Raw genomic sequence first — 22,548 nt, 5'->3', positions numbered from 1 at the left:
TTAAATGGACTCACAGTTCTATGTGGCTGGGGAGGCCTCACAAATATGGTGGAAGGGGAAAGGCAAGTCTCACATGACAGTAGAAAAGAGAAGAGAGCTTGTGTAAGAAAATTCCCCGTGTTAAAATCATCAGATCTCTCAAGACTTATTCACTATCACAAGAATAGCACAAAAAAGCCCTGCCCCCATGATTCAATTATCTCCCATCAGGTTCCTCCCACAGCATGTGGGAATTATGAGAGCTATAACTCAAAATGAAATTTGGGCGGGAACACAGCCAAACCATATCATTCCACTCTTGGCCCCTCCAAATCTTATGTCCTCACATTTCAGAACCAATCTTGCCTTCCCAACATTCCCCAAAGCCTTAGCTCATTTCAGCATTAGCTCAAAAGTCCACAGTCAAACATCTCATCTGTGACAAGTCCCCTCCACTTATGGGCCTGTAAAATCAAAAGCAAGTTAGTTACTTCCTAGATACAATGGGGGTACAGGCATTGGGTAAATACACCCATTCCAAATGGGAGGAATTGGCCAAAACAAAGGGGCTATGGGCCCCATGCAAGTCCAAAATCCAGCAGGGCAGTGAAATCTTAAAGTTCCAAAATGATCTCCTTTGACTCCATGTCTCACATCCAGGTCACACTGGTGCAAAAGGTGGGTTCCCGTGGTCTTAGGCAGCTCTGCACCTGTGGCTTTTCAGAGTACAATCTCCCTTCCAGCTGCTTTCATGGGCTGGCATTGAGTGCCTGTGTCTTTTCCAGGTGCACAGTGCAAACTGTCCGTGGATCTACCATTCTAGGGTCTGGAGGACAGTGGCCCTCTTCTCACAGCTCCACTAGCTAGCCCCCAAGTGGGGACTCTTGTGGGGGGGTCTACATTTCCCTTCTGCACTGCCCTAACAGAGGTTCTCCATGAGCACCCTGCCCCTGCAGCAAACTTCTGCCTGGACATCCAAATGTTTCCATACATCCTCTGAAATCTAGGTGGAGGTTCCTAAACCTCAATTCTTGACTCCTGTGCACCTGCAGGTTCAATACCATGTGGAAGCTGCCAAGGTTTTGGGCTTACACCACCTGAAGCCACGGCCCAAGCTGGACCTTGGAAACTTTAAGTCACAGTTGGAGCAGCTGGAATGCAGGACACCAAGTCCCTAGACTGCACACAGCAGAGGGACCCTGGGCTTGGCCCACAAAACCATTTTTTCCTCCTAGGCCTCTGGGTCTGTGATGGGAGGGGCAGCCACAAAGGCCTCTGACATGTCCTGGAGACATTTTCCCCATTGTCTTGGTGATTAAAATTTGGCTCCTCATTACTTATGCAAATTTCTGCAGCTGACTTGAATTTCTCCACAGAAAATGGGATTTTCTTTTCTATCACATTGTCAGGCTGCACATTTTCTGAACTTTCATGCTCTGTTTCCCTTTTACAGCTGAATTTCTTTAACAGCACCCAAGTCATCTCTTGAAATCTTTGCTGCTTAGAAATTTCTTCCACCAGATAACCTAAATCATCTCTTTCAAATTCAAAGTTCCACAAATCTCTAGGGCAAGGGCAAATTGTTACCAGTCTGTTTGCTAAAACGTAACAAGAGTCACCTTTGCTCCAGTTCCCAACAAGTTTCTCATCTGCATCTGAGACCACCTCAGCCTGGATTTCATTGTCCATATCATTATCAGCATTTTGGTCAAAGCCATTTAACAAATCTCTAGGGAGTTCCAGACTTTCCCACATTTTTCTATCTTCTTCTGAACACTCCAAACTGTTTCAAGCTCTGCCTGTTACCCAGTACCAAAGTTGCTTCCACATTTTCAGGTATCTTTACAGCAGTACCCCACTCTACTGGTACCCATTTACTATATTAGTTTGTTTTCACGCTGCTGATAAAGACATACCTAAGACTGGGCAATTTACAAAAAAAAGAGAGATCGAATGGACTCACAGTTTCACATGGCTGGGGAGGCCTCACTTTCATGGCAGAAGGTGAAAGCCACATCTCACATGGCAGAAGACAAGATAAGAGAGCTTGTGCAGAGAAACTCCCATTTTTAAAACTATCGTATCTCTTGAGACTTATTCACTATCATGAGAATAGCATGGGAAAGCCCCAACCCCATGATTCAATTATCTCCCACGACGTCCCTTGCACAACATGTGGAAATTATGGGAGCTGCAATTCAAGATGAGATTTGGGTGGGGACACAGCCAAACCATACCAAAGATTAACATATAAATGATATTTAGAAAGCATTGTCTTGAGAAATGTTGTTTGATAGTGTTTCAACTTGAGGAAGATATGAGGCTCTCAAGTACAGCATTTCTTTCACCATTAATGAGAGAGAATCCAACTTTCTGTGAAGAGAAGGGAAATCTCACATTTCTTGGTGTGTTCCAGGATCTGCAATATTCATTAGATATGAAAGAATCAACCATGAAAGAGCTGACTGCTGTGTCTAGCATGTGAAAGTAAAGGCACTGCAGCCCGGGGAGCAGCTCCCTTGGATCCACTGACCTCAAAGATCATCAGATAGAGTTGAGATCAGTGGATGGGTAAACACAGCCTGGCAGCTCAATAGTCCTGAATGGATGGGAGGAAACAGTGCTACTTTAAGACCCAGGCCCATTCTCAGGGGAGGGACCAGCAAGCCTTGGCTCTTGGCCTCTTGACAAGTTTGGAAAAGCTCCTTGTAATGAGATGATTCTCATGGAAAAATCAATATCTTTAAAATGGCATTACTGCCCAAAGCCATTTACACATTAAACACAATTTCTATCAAACTATCAAAGTCATTTTTCATATAATGGAACAAAAAATGAACCCAAAGGGCCCAAACAATCCTAATCGAAAAGAAGAAAACCAGCGGCATCACACCACCTGACTTCAAACTCTGCTATAAGGCTACAATAATCCAAACAGCATGGTACTGGTATAAGAACAAACACACAGACCAATGGAACAGAGCAGTGAACCCAGAAATAAAGTCACACACCTACAACCATTTGATCTTCAACAAAGCCAACCAAAAAAGCAATAAGGAAAGGACTTCCTATTCAATAAATGATTCTGGGATAACTGACTAACCATATGCAGAAGAATGAAACTGTACCCCTACCTTTCACCATATACAAAAATGAACTTAGAATGGATTAAAGATTCAAATGTAAGACCTCAAACTATAAAAATGTTTGAAGAAAACCTAGGAGATACTCTTATTGACATTGGCCTTGGCGAAGAATTTTTGGCCACCTACCCAAAAGCGATTGCAATAAAAGTAAAAATTGACATGTGGGATCAAATTAAACTAAAAAGCTTCTTCATAAGGAAAGAAACTACCAACAGAGTAAAAGGAAAGAAAATGTTTGCAAACTATGCACCTGACAAAGTTCTAATATCCAGAATCTATAAGGAACTTAAATCAACAAATTACAAAAAATATCCCTTTTAAAAAGTGGGCAAAGAACTTGAACAGACACTGCTCAAAAGAAAATATACAAGGAAGCCAACAAACATAAGAAAAAATGCTCATCACTAATCATCAGAGAAATGCATATAAAAATTACTATGAGATACCATCTCACATCATTCAAAAAGGCTACTAAATAAAAAGTCAGAAATAAAACAGATGATACTGGCAAGGCTGTGGAGAAAAGAGAATTCACAGTTGGTGGAAATAAAAATTAGTTCAACTACTGTGGAGCACAGTCTGGAGATTCCTCAAAGAGCATAAACAGAGCAATCATTTGACTCAGCAATCGCATTACTGGGTATATATCCAAAGGAAAAGAAATAATTCTACCAAAAAGACACATGCACTTGTATGCTCACTACAGCACTATTCAAAATAGCAAAAACATGGAATCAACCTAGGTATCCAACAACTGGATAAAGAAAATGTGGAACATATACACCGTGGAATACTATGCACCCTTGAAAAGGAATGAAATCATGTCCTTTGCAGCAACATGGATGCAACTGGAGGCCATTATCCTAAGCAAAATAATGCAGAAGCAGAAAACCAAGTATTGCATATTCTCACTTATAAGTGGGAGCTAAACATTGAGTACACCTCCAGTTTTCTGTTATTGATTTCTGTTATTGATTGTTATTGATTTCTGGTTTCATTTGACTGTGGTCAGTAAAGATACTTGGAATAATTTCTGTCTTTTTACATTTGTTAAAACTTGTTTTGTGATCTAGCATATGATCTATTCTGGTGAATGTTCCAAGTCCACTTGAGAAGAATGTGTATCTTCTAGTGTAGGGTGGGAAGTTCTATATATGTCTGCTAAGTCCGTATGGTCTGTAATGTTGTTCAGGTCAGCTATTTCTTTATTGATATTATGATTAGATGTTCTATCTGTTATTTAAAGTGGGCTTTTGAAGTCTCCTGCTATTATTTTATTTATGTCAATTTCTCCTTTATATCTGTTAATATTTGCTTTACTTATTTAGGTCCTCTGATATTGGTTGCATATCTATTTATAATTGTTATATCTTACTCTTAAATTGACTCATTTATTATCAGATAATGTCCTTCTTTATCTCTAGAGACAGTTTTGTCTATGTATAGCCACCCCTGCTTTCTTGTGGTTACCATTTGCATGGAATATGTCTTTCTATCACTTCACTTTCAACCTATGCATATCCTTTAATCTAAGGCGAGTCTCTTGTAGACATCATATTACTGGATCTTTTCTTATACATTTAGCCATTTTATGCCTTTTGATTGATGAGTTTAATGCATTTACTTTTAAAGTAATTGTTAAGTGAGTTCTTACTATTGCCATTTTACTGATTTTGTTTGTTTGTTTGTTTCACAGTTGTTTTGTTCCTCTTTTTCTATCCTTGTACTCTTCCTTTGTGATATGGTGTATCAGGCTTGAATTGCTCTAAATACCTAAGACTGGGTAATTTGTAAAAAAAAGAGGTATAATTGCCTCATGGTTCTGCAGTCTTTATAGGAAGCATGGTGCTGGCATCTGCTTGGCTTCTAAGGAGGCTTCAGGAAGCTTCTAATCATGGCAGAATGTGAAGTGGGAGCAGGCACATCACATGGTTAAAGCAGAAGAGAGAGAGAGAGAGACAGAGAGAGAGAGAGAATGCCACACTTTTAAACAACCAGATCTCTTGAGAACTTACTATTATGAAGGCAACAGCAAGCCATAACGGATCAACCCACCTGATCCAAACACCTCCCACCAGGCGCCACCTTCAGCCACTGCGGATTACAATTCAACATGAGATTTGGATGGGGACAAATATATAAACTATATCATATGGTAATATTTGTAGTGATTTGCTTTGACTTTTTCTCTTTATATTTTGTGTTTCTATTATAGGTTTTTTTCTTTGTGGATATCTCAAGGCTTTCGTGATATATCTTAATTGTAACTAACCATTTAAAGTTGAAAACAACAACTTTAGTCACATACAAGAAGTCTAAAATGTAGCTTACTGTACTCACATTTTGTGTTCTTATAGTCAGAGTTTTCTTTTTTTTTGTTTTACATCGTATATATACGACAAGGTTTTCACCTTTTAAGTTTTGTACTAGGGTTCAAAGTAACTTATGCACCACCATTACGATGTTATGTTATACTGTATTTGTCTATATATTTATTGTCACCAGTAAGATTTATACATTCATATGCTTTTGCATTGCTGTTTAGCATGTTTTCATTTCAATTTAAGTAACTCCCTTAAGCGTATATGGTAAGATAGATATAGTAATGACAAACTCCCTCAGTTTTTGTTTGTCTTGGAAAGACTTTATCTCTCCTTTATTTTTAAAGGATAATTTTTTTCAGGTATAATATCCTTAGCTGGAATATTTTTTCTCTGAGTATTTTGAATATAGCATTCCATCCTCTTCTGGCCTGCAAGGTTACTGCTGAGAAATTTTTTGGAAGTCTTAAAAACATTCCCTTATATGAGACAAGTTACATTTATCTTCTTTCAAAATCCTCTCTTTGACTTTGACTTTTGGCAATTTAATTATAATGTCTGTCAGTATAGACTTCTTTGTGTTCAATGTATTTGAGGTCCTTTGGGATTCTTGAATCAGGATGCCCATTTTCTTCTTCTGATTTGATCATCTTTTGGTCATTATTTCTTAAATAAATTTTCTTTTTTTTCTTTGTCTTATCCATCTCGAGCATTCGTAATGCATGTATTAGTTTGTGTAATGGTGTCCCATAAATTTATTGTCTTTCTTCATTGTTTTTAACATTTCTTTTTTCTCTTATGACTGATAAGAATCAGCAAACTCAAAGACAGATCATTTTATTGATCAAAATGAATTTTTAACTTCATTCATTGTATTCTTCAGCTCTATAATTTCCATTGAGTTCTTTTTAACGATTTCTGTCTTTCTTTAGCTTCTAATTTTTTTATGCATTGTTTCCCTGACTTTGTTGAGTTGTCAATCTGTGTTCTTTTGTAGATCACTGAGCATTTTAAAAATAATTATTATGAATTCCTTGTCAGGCAATTCACAGATCTCCATTTTGTGGGGTTGTTTACTGGAATTTTTTTGTTTTTTGTTGGTGGTGTCATGTTTCCTTCTTGTGTGTATCCTTGCATGGGTGTCTACCTATTTGGAGGAGCAGTCACCTGTTCCAGTCTTTGGGGACTGACTTTGATAGGAAAATTTTTTTACCTGTAGGTGGACACAAGGGCACTGGCTGGTTGGTCTGCATAGTGGTGTTGGATCTGGCATCAGATCCAGGGATGTATAGGGATGCAGGTTCCAAGAGTGCATTGAGGCACTGGTTCTGAGGATGTGTAAGCGTTCTAGTTTGGGGGCATGTAGCAGTGCTGGGTCTAGTGGGGGTGTGGTAGCATTGGATCTGGTATGTATGCAGTGGGGCTGGGTCATGGGTTTTCCAGCAGTGCTGGGGTCTGGTGTGCATGTGGAGGCACTGGATCCAGGGGCTGTTTGGTGGTGGTGCCAGGTCCAGAAGCCAGGGGCATGTATAGCTGCTCTGCATCCAGGTTAGTATAGAAACATGATTTCTGGGCCATTCCATCAGCTGGGATCTGTGTTGTTGAAGACTGTGGGAGTCTTTGGCAGAGAGAGCTGATAGGGGTTTTCTATTTTTATTTTCCTCTATAAGGAAAAGCCACATCCAAGGGGATTCCTTTTGTTACTGAGTTGTGCCAGCTAGGGGACAAGGTGACACAGGTAAGATACTTCCTACACTTTTATATGTGGCCATCTCAGTTTTAGTGCTTGACTGTGTTGCTCTAGCTTCTTAATTTTACTTTACAATTCTCCCAGAGCTATTTTTATCCATGAATGTTGTTATTGTTTATGTGGAGTATCTGTTTGTTTGGGCTGCTATAACAAAATACAGACATACCTCAGAGATATTGCAGGTTGTATTCCAGAGCACTGCATTAAAGTGAATATTGCAAGAAAGTGAGTCACACAATGGTTATGGTCTTTCGGTGCATATAAAAGTTATGTTTATACTATACTGCAGTAAATTAAGTGCAAAATAGCATTATGTCTAAATAACAATATACGTACCCTCATTAAAAGATACCTTACTGACTGGGCACAATAAAGTACTGTGGCTTATGCCTGTAATCCCAGCACTTTGGAAGGCTGAGGTGGGAAGACTGCTTGAGCCTAGGAGTTTGATTCCAGGCTGAAAAACACAGCAAAACACCATCTCTACAAAGAAAAAGAAAATTACAAAAAATTAGCCAGGTGTGGTGGCACATGCCTGTAGTCCCAGCTGTTCAGGAGACTGAGGTGGGAGGATCACCTGAGTCTGGGAGATTGAGGCTGCAGTGAGCCATGATTATGCCACTGCATTCCAGCTTGGGTGATAGAGACCCTGTTTCAAAAATAAAAAATATAAAATAAAAAAACTCAAAACAAACAAAAAATACTGTGTTGCTAAAAATTGCTAACAGTCATCTGTGCCTTCAGTGAGTCATAATCTTTTTGCTGGTAGAGGGCCTTGCCTCTGTGTTGATGGCTGCTGACTCATCAAGGTGGTGATTGCTGGAGGTTGGGTTGACACTGGAAATTTCTTAAAATAAGACAACAATAAAGTTTGTCACATTAATTGACTTATTTCCAGAAAAGATTTCCCTGTAGCATGCAATGCTGTTTGATGGCATTTTACCCACAGTAGAACTTTTTCCAAAATTGGAATCAACCCTCTCAAACTCTGTTGCTGCTTTATCAACTAAACATATGTATATTTTACATTTTTTGTTGTCATTTAAACAATGTTCACAGCATCTTCACCAAAAGTAGATTCCATTTCAAGAAGCACTTTCTTTGTTCATTCATAAATGCAACATGGATGAGACTGGGCACGTTCAGGGTGGTATGACCATAGACTATAAGTGCAACTTCATACCCTTTCAAGTTTTATTATGAGACTGCGCAATTCAGTCACGTCTTGAGGCTTCATTTTAAATTCTAGTTCTCCTGTTATTTCTGCCACATCTGCATATGCTTCTTCTGTTGAAGTCCTAAACCCCTCAAAGTCATCCATGAGAGCTGAAATAAACTTCTTCCAAACTTCTGCTAATGCTGATATTTAGACATCCTCCCATAAAATGAATTTAATGGCAGCTAGCATGGTGAATCCTTTCCAAGTTTTCAGTTTACTTTGCCCAGATTCATCAGAGGAATCACCATCTATGGTAGCCATACCCTTATAAATGTACTTTTTAAATAATATTTGAGAGTAAAAATTGCTCCTTGATCCATGGGCAGCAGAAAGGATTCTGAGTGAGCAGGTATAAAAACAACATTAATCTTCTTGTACATTTCCATCAGAGCTCTTGGGTGATCAGGTACGTTGCTAATATGCAGTAATATTTTGAAAAGAATATCTTTTCTTTTTCTAAGCAGTAGGTCTCAACAGTGGTTCTAACATATTCAGTAAACTGTGATATAAACAGATATGCTGAAATCCAAGCTTTGTTGTTTTATTTATAGAGCACATGGAGAGTAGATTTGGCATAATTCTTACTGGCCCTAGGACTTTCAGAATGGTAAATGAGCATTGGCTTCAACTTAAAGTCACTAGCTGCATTAGCCTCTAATAAGAGAGTCAGATTGTCCTTTAATTAAAGCTTTGAAATCAGGCATGACTTCTCCTGTCTAGCTATCAAAGTCTTAGATAGCATCTTCTTCTAATATAAGGCTGTTTTATTAATATTAAATATCTGTTGTTTAGTGTAGCCACCTTTGTAAATATTCTCAGCTAGATCTTCTGGATAACTTGCTGCAATTTCTCCTTCAGCAATTGCTGTTTAATATTGCAATTTTGTTATGAAAATAACTTCTTTCCTTAAACCTCATGAACCAACCTCTGCTAGCTTACAATGTTTTTCTACAGTTCCTTCAGTCTTCAGAGAATTGAAGAGAGTTAGGACTTTGCTCTGGATTAGCCTTTGGCTTAAGGGAATGTTTTGGCTGGTTTGATCTTCTATTAAGATCACCAAAACTTTCTCCATATCAACAATAAGGCTGTCTCGCTTTCTTATCATTTGTGTTCACTGGAGTGCACTTTGAATTTCCGTCAAGAACTTTTCCTTTGTGTTTACAACTTGAGGCTGTTTGGCATGGGCTTTTGGCTTATCCTGGCTTTTGACATGCCTTATTCACTAAGCTAATTGTTTCGACATGTGACTCTTCCTTTCACTTGGACACTTGAGGCCATGCTGGGTTATTAATTGGCCTAATTTCAGTATCATTGTGTCTCAGGGAATAGAGACACTCAAGAGCAGAAACATAAATGGGGGAACTACTGGTCAGTGGAGCAGCCCGTGCACACACAACATTTATCGATTAAGTTTGCAATCGTATATGAGTATGATTTGTGCTGCTCCCAATCAATTGCAATGCTAACATCAAAGATCACTAATCACATATCACCATACAAATATAATAATAATGAAAAAGTTTGAAATATTGTGAGAATTACCAATATACGACATAGTGACATGAAGTGAGAATGTGCTGTTGGAAAAATGACAGATAAACTTGTTCGATGCAGGATTGTCACAAACCTTTAATTTGTGGAAAAGGTAATATCTGCCAAGCTCAATAAAGCAAAGGGCAGTAAAACAGGTATGCCTATACCATAAGCTGGGTGGCTTGTAAACAACAGAAATTTAATTCTCACAGTTTTTGAGACTAGAAGTCTGATATCAGGGTCTCGGCATGGCCCAGCTCCTGGTGAGAGTTGCCTTCTGGATGGCAGACTGCCTACTTCTTCTTGTGTCATCACATGGTAAATGAGATGAATTATCCATCTGGAATCTCTTTTATAAGGGCTCTAATACAAATATTGAGGCTCCGCCCTCATGATCTAATCTCTTCCTAAACGCTCCACTTTCTAATACTATCACCTTGGGGGACAGGATTTCAATGTATGAATTTGGTATTGGGGGAGGTGGGCAGGACACAAACATTCAGCTCAAAGAATGGTGGGATGAGGGCTGGAATCTCCTACTGCACCATTTTGTTGATGTCACTCCCTGAAATATTTATTACCAAATTGCTGTTAAACATTCAGGAAGTGGCTACTCTCCCCATATATGAAATACAAAAATATTATCAAGCAGAACAACTTTGGGATTCAGATGAGGGAAAGAGCAGTTTATGACTTGGAGTGTCTGGGAAAGAAGGTTCTGTGAAAGATCAACTGGATTCAAGACTATCTTTAAAATATGCTGTTGGGACCTGAATATGAGCTCTTTGACCTTCAAACAAATTCAGAACCAGCACCACTCAGATGAACAAACAGTGAGAAGAGATGCCTGAATAGAAAGTTTCAGAGCACTTTGGGAGGCCGAGGCAGGTGAATCACCTGAGGTCAGGAGTTCGAAACCAGCCTGGCCAACATGATGAAAACCCGTCTCTATTAAAAATACAAAAATTAGCTGGGTGCGGTGGTCAGTGCCTGTAATCCCAGCCATTCGAGAGGCTGAGACAGGAGAATCACTTGAATCCGGGAGGCGGAGGTTGCAGTGAGCCGAGATCATGCCATTGCACTCCAGCCTGGGCAACAGAGTGAGACTCCATCTCAAAAAACAAACAAACAAAAACAAACAAACAAACAAAAAAACCCAAATACCTAAAAATAGGCAATAGTTCACCTCCAACTAACCAGTTTTGTAGAAAACACTCACGTTGGGGTTACTTTGCATATTTGCATTTCTTAACAGGTAGGCATATTTCCCGGGTTCCAACAACAGTCAGAAGGGATAGAAGGGCGGTAAATTCTGACCTTCAGCTACTCCACATGATGAGAATGGCAGAACCTTGCAACATGTGCAGTATTAGTATTCTGGTAAAGACTTTGGGAAATTGGAGGTGCCATGGCATTAACTGGGACTTTACTGTGTTGCCTCCTGCTTTAAGAATCTATCTCCAAGAGAAAACTTTTAATATCATTTGCCACTAAATAGATCTCTAACTGTTGTGTTGTGTTCTTCTGTTAATTAGCGCTATGATGTGTTGTCCACATAAATTGGATATGATTAGAATCCACTACATTGCACAAATAAGCTTTCTAGGCAGAAGAGACTGTATGCACAAATGCATGAAGGCAGGAAGGTAGAAACATTGAAGGAAAGGTATTAGAAATGTAGTGCCCAGGTGTGATGGCTCACACCTGTAATCCCAGCACTTTGGGAGGTTGAGGTGGATGGATTGCCTGAGGTCGGGAGTTCGAGAACAGCCTGACCAACAGGGCAAAATCCCGTCTCTACCAAAAATACAAAAATCCAGGTGTGGTGGTGCACGCCTCTAATCCCAGCTACTCGGGAGGCTGAGGCATGAGAACTGCTTGAACCCAGGAAGTGTAGGTAGGTTACAGTGAACCAAGATCGTAGCACTGCACTAGAGGCTGGGCAACAGAGTGGGGACTCTGTCTGAAAAAAAAAAAAAAGTAGTATTCAAAAGGAAGTAAAGGAAGATAAATTAAAAAAGAAAACTTGGAAGTAGATCAGGAAGGGTCCTAAATCACCGTCCAAGGAGGTTTAACAGAGTCATTAAAGACTTTTAAGCAAATAACTATCAAAAATTACTTACATTTATCAAGGTTGGGGCAGTATAATAGACCAATTAATAACTCATTCTTTGAAGTTAAACTATCTGGATTCAAATTGCAGCTCTACTATTTTCTTGCTGTAAGATTTGGGCAATGCACTTATATTTTCCATGCCTCAGCTTTTCCATCCATAAAATGGAAATAATTGTAGTACCTATTTCATAGGGTTCTTGTTGGGATCAAATGAAGTAATAGATGTAAAGTGCTCAGAGTGAGTCCTTAAAAATATTAGCTATGGTAAAGGGGAATTTTCATTCTCTTAGCAAGAAGCAACAAGTCATTTTTTAGCAAGAGAGCTCTTTTGTTGAGGAAAATGCTTTGATATTTGCCTTGAAGCTGAGTATCCAGAACCTCTACAATTGTGGGTACTGAGGATTCCTAGAGAGAAGGTGTCCGTACTATAAAATAAAAGAAGAAAAAGAAAGATTTAGGGAGAGAGTGGATGCATTCAGCTTTGAATTTGTTGAGCTTGTGTTGTCTCTATGAAGACTGTGTGCACATTTTTAGTAAGCATATAGGAACATGCATCTAGTATTTAAGAGTGAGTTGGGGGTCAAAACTACATATATAAAAAGTTTCTTCAAAATAATCATATTTGATGTTTTATGCATTTTACCTAGTTTGGGTCACTTAATTTATAACAGAAATCATTGATGTTTTTTCTTTTATGCTAGGTATTTTAAGAGTTGTACATGCACCTTATCTCATTTAATCCTCAAATCAATTACTTGAAGTTGCATTTTTCTTACTAAACACATGTAAAAATTGAGACATAAAAGATTAAGTGTATTTATATCACAAACCACTTTACAGTACTTATGGCATGGCAGATACCCTATTAATCCCTTTACAAATATTAAGCTATTTAATCTTCATAAAATCTCTGTGAGGTAGGTACTGCTAATTGTCTTTGAGTTATGGGCGAAGAAACTGTGTCCAGCATCCCACTGTTAAGTGGCTGAGCTGAGATTTTATCCCACCTAGACTGAACCTTGAGTCCATGCTCTTAACCTCTGTTATGCTGTCTTTCTGAAGAACTTGCCTGAGTCCCAAAACTTTAAGTGGATGATGCAGGAGTCCACGCTGAGTCTGCCTCATTGCAAGATCATTGAATATACTCATTTTCTCCCCCAAATTAGTCACCACTCTGGCCAAGAGGGACAGGGGCTGAATAAAAACAATTTCTTATGGAATGAGCTAGCATTTTTAGGTTTAGGTCCTCAACTGTCTGGTTCTAGCTACTTCACATCTCATTCTGCTACCTCTCAAATTCTTCTAAGGCAAACCACTGGCTCTATTTTCTGTTTATGTTCTTGTCAATTTCCTTCATTTTGTCATGTAAATTTGGTTTCTCATAACCTTCATTGTCAGAACTACATTGAACTATAGCTTTCCTCCTCCATTTTTGACACAGAGAGTCTATGAATGACTTCTGAGTGACATGCCTCGCAGCTTGACCTGGCTGCAAGAATCTCTATTTCATGAGGACAGTCTCCTTCCAAGATAATTTAGCCTGTCAGGCAGATCTAGGCAGCAGGAGCTAATAAGATTCCTGAGAGACAATAATGCCCTTAAAGTGGAAGAGAGGTCAGTGGAAGAACTGTCTTTTATTGGCCACTTAATTTGTGCATGCACTATGCTACCTTATTCACATATATTTCATTATTTATAGCATCCTTATATAGTAGGTATTATTGAGATTCACAGAAACAAATTCCCAATGTCACTGTGGCTAGAACTGTGGGGAGTTAAGAGTCAAGCCCAGGTCTGGTCACTCAAAAGCCCATGCTTTCAATTGCACCAAAATGTCTATTGCAAAATGGGGCAAAATAAGATGAGACCGGGTATTGTAACTTGGGGAAACAGCCAAAGGAGGCAAAGAACAATTAGAGATAAAAGAGAAAAACTTGCAGTTCTGTGTGGAAGTCAAAGGGGAGAGTTTCAAGAGAGAGAATTGTCAATAGGACCAAATGTTATAAGTCTAAGTAGCTATGGCCTGAGAAAAGGCCAGTGGGTTTGGTGACTATGAAGATACCAGTTTCAGTGAAGGTTGGAGGTAGAAGCCAAGAGCTGAGGAGTAGAGTGATGGGAGAGAATGCAAACTACTTTTCAAAAGTTGCTGTGGGTAAAGGAAGGAAAGGAAAGACATCTTAAAGGAGAGATTTGAGGGAATTGCAGGTCAAGGAGAAGGAATGAGGACAGAAGTAGACAGACAAAGCTAGAAGAACGAGGGATGGATGCAAGGACATGAGAAATGTGGGACAATGTAAAGAGTGGAAAAATGATGTTTTTAAGGAATAGATGAAGAGGGGAAGATAGAGAAAAATGATGAGACATTTTGAAGTGAAAGTAGAAAAATGGGAAGACTATACATTGGATGACCTTGATCTCAGAAATGCTGGAAGCATCTCAAGAGAATAGAGTTGATAGTGGATTGAGGTTTTGAGAGCACAGCAACTGGAAGATCTTCAAAAGGGGATAAGGAAGTGTTAGCCAGAAATAAGTAAAAACATGCTGTGGCAGCAGTGACTTCCAGCTAAATTTGGCTAGGGTAGAATTTTCTATTGAGATTTCACCTTAAAAATATGCCTTGGAGTTTGTTGTTGTCCCTAAGCCCAAGAATCAGATCACTGTAGGCATGAGGGATAGAATCAGTCTGCAAGAGACAAAGAGATGTCCTAAGTTAAAAAAATTTAAAACAAGATGAAAGGACCTATCACTGCTCTCAAGGAATTTGGCTTAGAATGGAGCATAGTCACGTAAATCAATAGTACAATGCCGTTTGGTAAGCTCTAGAGTAGAGAGATACGGTTGATCCTCAATATTGTGGATTCTGTATTTCTGATTTCATCTACCTGCTAAAATTTATTTGTAATTAGAAAAATCAATACTCATGGCACTGTTACGGTCATTCATGAATGTGCACAGAGGAGTAACAAAATTTGAGTCACACAACGTGCTTGTTTCCAGCAAAGGTAGAAAAAATTCCTGCTCTGTCTTTTTGTTGCAGCTCTTATAATGTGTCCTTTTTCAGTTCTGCTTAGTGATACATGGGTGGGGTTTATTTATTTATTTTTTTGAATTTTTGTACTTTTTGTGATATGGCCCTCAAGCACAGAGCTAAAGTGTGCCGGTGTTTCTTAGTACCAAAAGGCTGTGATGCATCTTACGGAGAAAATATGTGTGTTAGAGAAGCTTCAGTCAAGCATAAGTTACAGTGCTGTTGGCCATGAGTACAGTGTTAATGAATCAACAAGTATTAGATTTTTTAAACAGAAACACACGTAAAACAAGATTATGTTAACAGTCAGTTGACAAAAACATAGCCAGAGATTTGCAGGAACATAACCCTTTCTTTCCGGCAAAAGCTATGCTAATTCAGCATTCACAGTGACTGTATAGAAAATAATTACTGTAAATGAGAATCAACTGTAAATACAAGAATACAAATTGCAATGAAAATAAAGAGAAGAAATTGATCAATTCTTTTTGGAAAGGTTAAATGTCACAAAGGAGATACATTTTCTAAAAGGTATCAAAAGTTTATGAGAGGCCAGGCACAGTGGCTCATGCCTGTAATCCCAGCACTTTGGGAGGCCGAGGCAGGCGGATCACTTGAGGTCAGGAGTTCGAGACCAGCCTGGACAACATGCTGAATGAAACCTGGTCTCTACTAAAAGTACAAAAATTAGCCGGGCATGATGGTGCATGCCTGTAGTCTCAGCTACTTGGGAGGCTGAGGCAAGAGAATGACTTGAACGTGGGAGGCGGAAGTTGCAGTGTGCTGAGATTGCGCCATTGCACTCCAGCCTGGGTGACAGAGTGAGACTGTTTCCAAAAAAAAAAAAAAAAAAGTTTATAAGAAAAACTATGTCCAATCTGCTAACAGCAGTAGAAGAAAGAGAAGTGACTAATATTTTAATATTCCATTTTTAAATCCAGCTCTTTGTCACACAAAATTTTTAAATTACAGCACAAAGTTGCATGACATTGAAAACACATGTGTTACTCAACTGCATGCATGATGTTAGCGTTTTAGAGAGCTGTTGAGGTGCTATGGGCTTGGAATATCTATTCCTGTCCTGCTGACAGCTCAATGCCTGAGGGAGACTCTCATCTCAGCCTCGCAATCAGCCTTTCCAACACCACTTGCCTTTAACCCTATTGGATCTGAATCATTGAACCTCCACAAAGTTTCTCTGAATTACTAAGATACCATCTCTAATGTGGCACTCCCCAGTAATTTTCACCTAGATTTCATAGGAAGCTATGGTCTTATGAATGAGAGAAGAATGCCACCTTTATTAATACTAATGACTTTGTATAGTGTTTGATGCTTTCCAAAACAGTTTACATCATAGCTACCATGAAGACAGTAAGAATACTAATACTTACACATGATTATCTGAGGCGCAGTATGTTAAATGGCTTTCTCAGTGCACACAGCTCATAGATAGGGTGGCTGAGACTCAAATTCAGGCCTTGTGACTCCAAAGCTTATGTTATTCCTGATACTCCAGTGATTTTCTAGTTGGGTTCCAGGATGCTCCTGATTTGCGCTGAGATGACTCCGCCTCTGTGGAGATAGTTGCTGTAGTCAGAAGTATTTGCCTGTACATTCTCAATGGCCACTGTAACAAAATCAGCTGTTTTTATTAATTTTTAATTTATTAATCTATACATTTTACAAGATTATACACTTCCTTTGAATGAAATGTGTAACACTTCATTTTAGGAAATGATTTTATCTGCTTTCTGGAGTTTAAAACTCAGGAACTCACAGCACTGAAAACATGGAAGGAGAATTAATACGAACTAAAAAATAAATAAATCATAGAATCACAAGCTTTTTCATCTGGGAGAGCTTTCTTGGTCTTTTAGTTCAACCTCTTGATTTTGCTGATATGAAAACTGAAAGCAGTAGAGGGGAGTTTCCCAAACTGCGCTGTGAAAAGAAAAATTGTAATTCAAATAACTCAAGGAAGGGACATTTGCTTTTTAAGGTGGCGGTCTAGCATAGAGGATAGGCCACAGTCTTGGAAGCTAAAAGAGCTTGGGTTCAATTCCACCTTTGTGACCCATATCTCTGTAGCCCTGGGCAAGTTACTCAACTTCGCTGACCTTCAGATTCTTCATATATTAAAATGGGAATGGAAATATTAGTTGTTCTGGCTTAAGGGGGCCATTAAATCATGCACTTGTCATCCCAAATATGTCTGGAACCCCTTGAAAGATAGCTAAAAGCATCACACAGATGGAGATCAAAACTTCAGCTTTATTATTCTTAAGGCTGAATTGAAGAAACATGGTGTGAAACTTTAACCACCTGGGCCCCTAAAATAGTCTCACTGAATTCAATTTCTTTGCTAGTCCCAGGTAAAGCCTAAGAACAACTTGCCTCCCAGGAAGTGGCAAAGGGTTTCCTTGTAAACTTACCCAATTGAGGATCAGGGAGATCTGTGTCCACTTATAAGAGCTATTGCAAGAAGCTATTGCTGAGGGCAAGAAGCTACTACTAAATTCTTCCTCTCAACACCAGCCATTAGTGAAATCTGTCTTCCCTCTTTGGGAAAGAGGACAAGACACTATTCCCCTTTATGGATCTTTATATGAGGTGCTATATGTGAAGTCCTTGGTTGATACCCACTGCAATGTATGTTCTAGATATGAAGATAATACACAGTGTTGGCAGAAGCAAGGCTGTGAACTCAGACTTTTAGTCCATTACTCTTTCCTTTATGACGAAACAAATGGATATATTACACAGGGTTGGTCAGTTTTCAGTAGAGCTACATTTCCAGCCACACTACATTTTCTGTAGCATAAAACCTGGCAGCAACTCAAGGTCCAAGGTAGCTAACATGTACACAGTGCTTCCTTAACTAGTCTGCCAAATATGACCTGGAAATTCAGCAGTAGTGTGTGTGTGTGTGCACACATGTATGTGTATGTGGGTGTGTGTGTGTGTGTGAGAGAGAGAGAGAGAGAGAAAATCTATTGAGAAACAGTATAGCCCAGTAAAATAAGCATAAGAATATGTAGGAGCAATTTTTTAAGCCTCTGTTGTATACAGGGCACTGTGCTGAGAATATTACATACAGTATCTTTAGTCTTCATAATAACACTGCACTATGAGTCTTATCCTTATTTTGCCAATGAAGAAACATTCAGAAATGAGATTTTAAAATTAGATCTCACTTGTTTCAAGGGCTTGCCCCTTTTACCATTGCATGTAATATCTGTAATATCTGCTGCTGTAATATCTCATCTTTTTCTTCTTTGAAGGGGACTGTGTGGAGACAGAATGACTATTCTTTAGGTTTAATAGAAAAACAGCAGCAAACTTAATAGAATGCTCAGGAGGGCAGAGATAGACCCCGGCTGCCAAAAACAACTTTCAGAAAGAGGGGATTCTGGATGGAATAACAGGCAACCCAGAGTTCCCACCGTAGGATGACTTCTGTCGTTTAGATAAAGAGAATCTAGTGCCCTAGACCACAAAGCATCTCCCTACTTAATGACTTAGTGAGGAAAAATAGGGCCAATTAGGAAATTACCTAGAACCAAGTTTTCAAAGGAAAAGACACCAAAACTGCCACTACTGTCAGATTGGCATGGCTCTGCCCAGCAGCAACCAGAGCCCATCTCTGTCTCCATGCTCTCTGATATGGTTTGGCTGTATCTACACCCAAATCTCATTTTGAATTGTAATCTCCATAATCCCCACGTGTCTAGGGAGAGACCTGGTGGGAGGGGATTGGATCACGGGGGCGATATCCTCCATGTTATTCTCATGATAGTGAGTGAGTTCTCAGGAGACCTGATGATTTTATAAGGTGCTCTTTCCACTTTGCTCCTTCCTCTCTTTCTTGCCGCCATGTGAGAAGGTTCAGGCTTTCTTCCCCTTCACCTTCTGCCATGATTGTAAGTTTCCTAAGGCTTCCCCAGCCATGAGGAACTGTGAGTCCATTAAACTTCTTTTGTTAATAGATTTCCCAGTCTCTGGGTAAGCCATCCACTAAGCCATCAGAGCCATGCCAATCTGTCAGGAGTGGCAGTTTTAGTGTCTTTTCTTTTGAAGACTTAGTTCTAGGTAATTTCCTAATTGGCCTTATTTTTCCTCACTAAGTCATTAAATAGGGAGATGCTTTGTGGTCTAGGGCACTAGATTCCCTTTATCTAAATGACAGAAGTCATCCTACAGTGGGAACTCTGTATTTCTTTACAGCAGTGTGAAAATGGACTAATACTCTATCACTGTTTGGCTTTGATGTGGGATTCTTTCTATTGTCAGTGCATTTTCATCTAAGTTTTGTAGTGACTTGCTTTCAAACTAAGCCATCTTAAATAGGGTGCAGACCTTTTCTCCCTTCCAAGCCCCTTTTCCATTCATCCTGGTATAGGCTAGAATTAGACTGTCAGAGCCGTCAGACAGGGAGAGCGTGTCATGGCAGACACAGAGAAAGGGTTTAAGTCTGTGTCCAAATTGAGTCACCAAACATCAAGCAACCTTCTCCTCCTGGCAAGACACATTTCAAACTTCTTTCTTTTAAAAGCAGACTTTTAATAAGCCCTATTAAGAAAGTAACATCTCAGCAGGGCGCTGTGGCTCACACCTGTAATCCCATCACTTTGGGAGGTCAAGGCGGGTGGATCGCAAGGTCAGGAGATCGAGGCCATCCCGGCCAACATGGTGAAACCCTGTCTCTACTAAAAATACAAAAAAAAAAAAAAAAAAAAAAAAAAAAGTAGCTGGGTGTGGTGGCGTGTGCCTGTAATGCCAGCTACTCGAGTGGCTGAGGCAGGAGAATAGCTTGAACCCGGGAGGCATTTGCAGTTTCAGTGAGCCGAGATTGCGCCACTGCACTCCAGCCTGGCGACATAGTAAGACTCCATCTCAAAAAAAAAAAAAAAAAAAAAAAAAAGTAACATCTCCATGCCATGTTGACAAATAGAAGAAGCACTGATACAGCCCAGTTCCTGGGTACCCATAGGTATGAGTGGTCAGTAGGTGTATATACTTTTAAATATATTTCCTAAGAGCCATTAAATGTAAAACCCAAATGACGGCTGCAGCCTCTTCACTCATGAGTGATGCCAAACCACATTCCACAGTCTCTCAGCACCCCTGAAGGGAACAGTGTAAACTCTAGACATCTGGCCAGATGGCTTTCTGTCTTCCATTCCAACTGCCAGTTATTTCCTTTTTTGTCCCAAGACGGCTATGCCCCTGACACACAAGGAAAACAGTTTTATCTAGAACTAGGAGGAGGGATTCCTTTGCCTATTGCTAATTAGGGGCCTATTGGGAACAAATTCAAGTTTTGGGGGGAGGAAAGAGGTTTGAGAAGAAACCACTTTTCCAGCTGTTGTGTGAGGCAGGCCAGGCCATGATATCATCGACAGCATTCTGCTTTTCTGTCTTGTTCTTCCTCTGCACTCCCTCCTCCTGTTCATCATCCCTTTCTTCAGATAATGAGTTACAGGGATAAACAATAACCTTTCAGATATTATATAAAACAAAAAAGTTCTTACTTTATTTTCTTTTAGAGATATGATAGTTCTACTGTTATTTTTTGTTTCTTATGGTCCTCTTCTTCCTCTTATCTTCCAACTTCTTCTTATTGAATATGGCTTATTGAATATGGTTTATTAAATGTCGACTCACCCAAGCTCCAAATCCAAATACAATCCCATTTTCTTGCCTCCATGATAGAAACTGTCAGAGTGAAATAATTGATTTCTCAGCCTTCCTAGTAGCTAGAAAAATAATTTGACACAATTCTGGTCAATGATAAATGAGTTGAAATTTGCTGAATCTACCCTGTCCCCTTCCCTTTTTTTCTACCTTGAATGAAGTTCTGATGTATAGGCCTGAAACCACCATCTTGTCACCATGAGGTGACAGCCATAAGGATAAGACCAAGAAAATCTCAGAAAGTCTAGTTCTAATATCATATCAGATTTAACATTTTTGTTTCTTTTGATGTATAGGCCTGAAACCACCATCTTGTCACCATGAGGTGACAGCCATAAGGATAAGACCAAGAAAATCTCAGAAAGTCTAGTTCTAATATCATATCAGATTTAACATTTTTGTTTCTTTTTTATTTACCTAGCAGTTCATTTATGCACCAAGATTCTTGTCCCCAAGGTTGTAACTTAGCAGATGGAGACAGACATTAAGCAACAGACATGATAAACAACATAATTATACAGAAAAAAATAGATGCAGTAAAAAAAAAAAAAGGTAAAACAAGGTAAAGGGCATGGGAGTGTAAAGGTAGGGGTTAGTTGCAATTGTAAAAAGCATGATCAGGATAGAATATAAGCTATACATGATAGGTACACAGGAGACAGACAGTGGGTGCTCAATAAATACTTGTTGGGTGAATGATGAATAAGTGAATCAACAGCTCAGTCAACTTATAGACTTCTTGTTAGAGAAGAAAAATAGCCTACCTGTGTAATTTACTGTTGGTTAGATTTTCCAAAATTGTAGCAAAAGTACTGCTAACTGATGCACTGAGTTGCATCCTTTTGTAAGTTTTTCAGCAAGTGTCTCGATCTGAGAGTATCTCAATGCCACTCCTACTCCTGAATAAAAGCTAGATTGGTGGAGTTTTTCTTACTCTTCAGCACTTTGGAAAAGGTTGGATCTTTTCTATTATCTGTCGTTTCTGAGGAGATGCCAGTTTCTCCATATGATGCTTGAAGGTCATTCAACTTTCCTGTCTCGTGATTCCAGGATTTTCCTTTTATCCTCAACTATGTAATTTCAATATTACATGATTAGTTGCAAGTTATTTACATTCATCCTACTTAGGAGTATGCTTTTCTGTTTAAATATGAAGATTCTTTTTTTTGAATTTTGGGAAATATCCCAATATTTCTCTCACTGTTGCTCTCCTTAATGTCTCACTTCTCAACATCCGTTACTCCCGTTAGATATCTGTTCATCCTGTCCTTCTCGCCTTTGTATCTCTTAACTTCACATTTCTATTTTCCATCTCCTTATATCTTTTTGTGCTACTGGATATAACTTTCCCATATTTATTCCACAGTTTTGAAATTTTCTTTTTAATTGTCTAGTCTATCGTCTAATGGGTTTTTAATTCACATACCATAATTCTTCAGTTCTAGATTTGTTTGGTTCATTGTCAAATCTACTTGCTTTTTTTAATTAAAAAAAGTAATGTTTTTATCTTATTCTCTTCTTTATCCATTTGGATATTTCCAACATGCTTTACTTATACTAATGTTCTTTTCAGATTACCCTATGACCATGAGTAGTTTCGATATAAATTATCCTATTTACTGAATTTAATGGCTCTTTCTTTTAACAGTTGCTATCTTTGCGTGCTTTGTAAATTTTTTAAACATGAATTCATTATTAATGGGCGTTGTCTTCCATAGGAGTCTTGCTTGTACCCTGGAGTGGAGGAATCTTTAATGGGA

General features: G+C 39.0%; 1 long non-coding RNA gene across 1 annotated transcript in view, besides 2 other annotated features; it reads left to right on the top strand.

The window, feature by feature from the left end:
* C1QTNF7-AS1 (C1QTNF7 antisense RNA 1) overlaps positions 1-22,548 on the top strand; it is a 422,973-nt gene that overhangs the window by 157,334 nt on the left and 243,091 nt on the right. The window contains exon 2 of the long non-coding RNA NR_125911.1: positions 7,117-7,184. This is a non-coding gene — a long non-coding RNA (C1QTNF7 antisense RNA 1). The remainder of the gene's footprint in view (positions 1-7,116; positions 7,185-22,548) is intronic.
* Positions 14,555-15,103: an enhancer, noted in NCBI's record as "OCT4-NANOG hESC enhancer chr4:15257102-15257650 (GRCh37/hg19 assembly coordinates)". NCBI's record gives its function as "activates a minimal SCP1, AML or CMV promoter by ChIP-STARR-seq in naive H9 embryonic stem cells {active_cell/tissue: H9 hESC(naive)}" and the evidence as "EXISTENCE:reporter gene assay evidence [ECO:0000049][PMID:30033119]".
* Positions 16,977-17,166: an enhancer, noted in NCBI's record as "active region_21337". NCBI's record gives its function as "activates an Ori minimal core promoter by ATAC-STARR-seq in GM12878 lymphoblastoid cells {active_cell/tissue: GM12878}" and the evidence as "EXISTENCE:reporter gene assay evidence [ECO:0000049][PMID:35858748]".

This window comes from Homo sapiens, chromosome 4 (assembly GCF_000001405.40).
Source record: "Homo sapiens chromosome 4, GRCh38.p14 Primary Assembly".
Classification (NCBI taxonomy): domain Eukaryota; kingdom Metazoa; phylum Chordata; class Mammalia; order Primates; family Hominidae; genus Homo; species Homo sapiens.
Note: the sequence above shows the minus strand (reverse complement) of the source record. Positions and strands in the feature narration are given on the sequence as shown.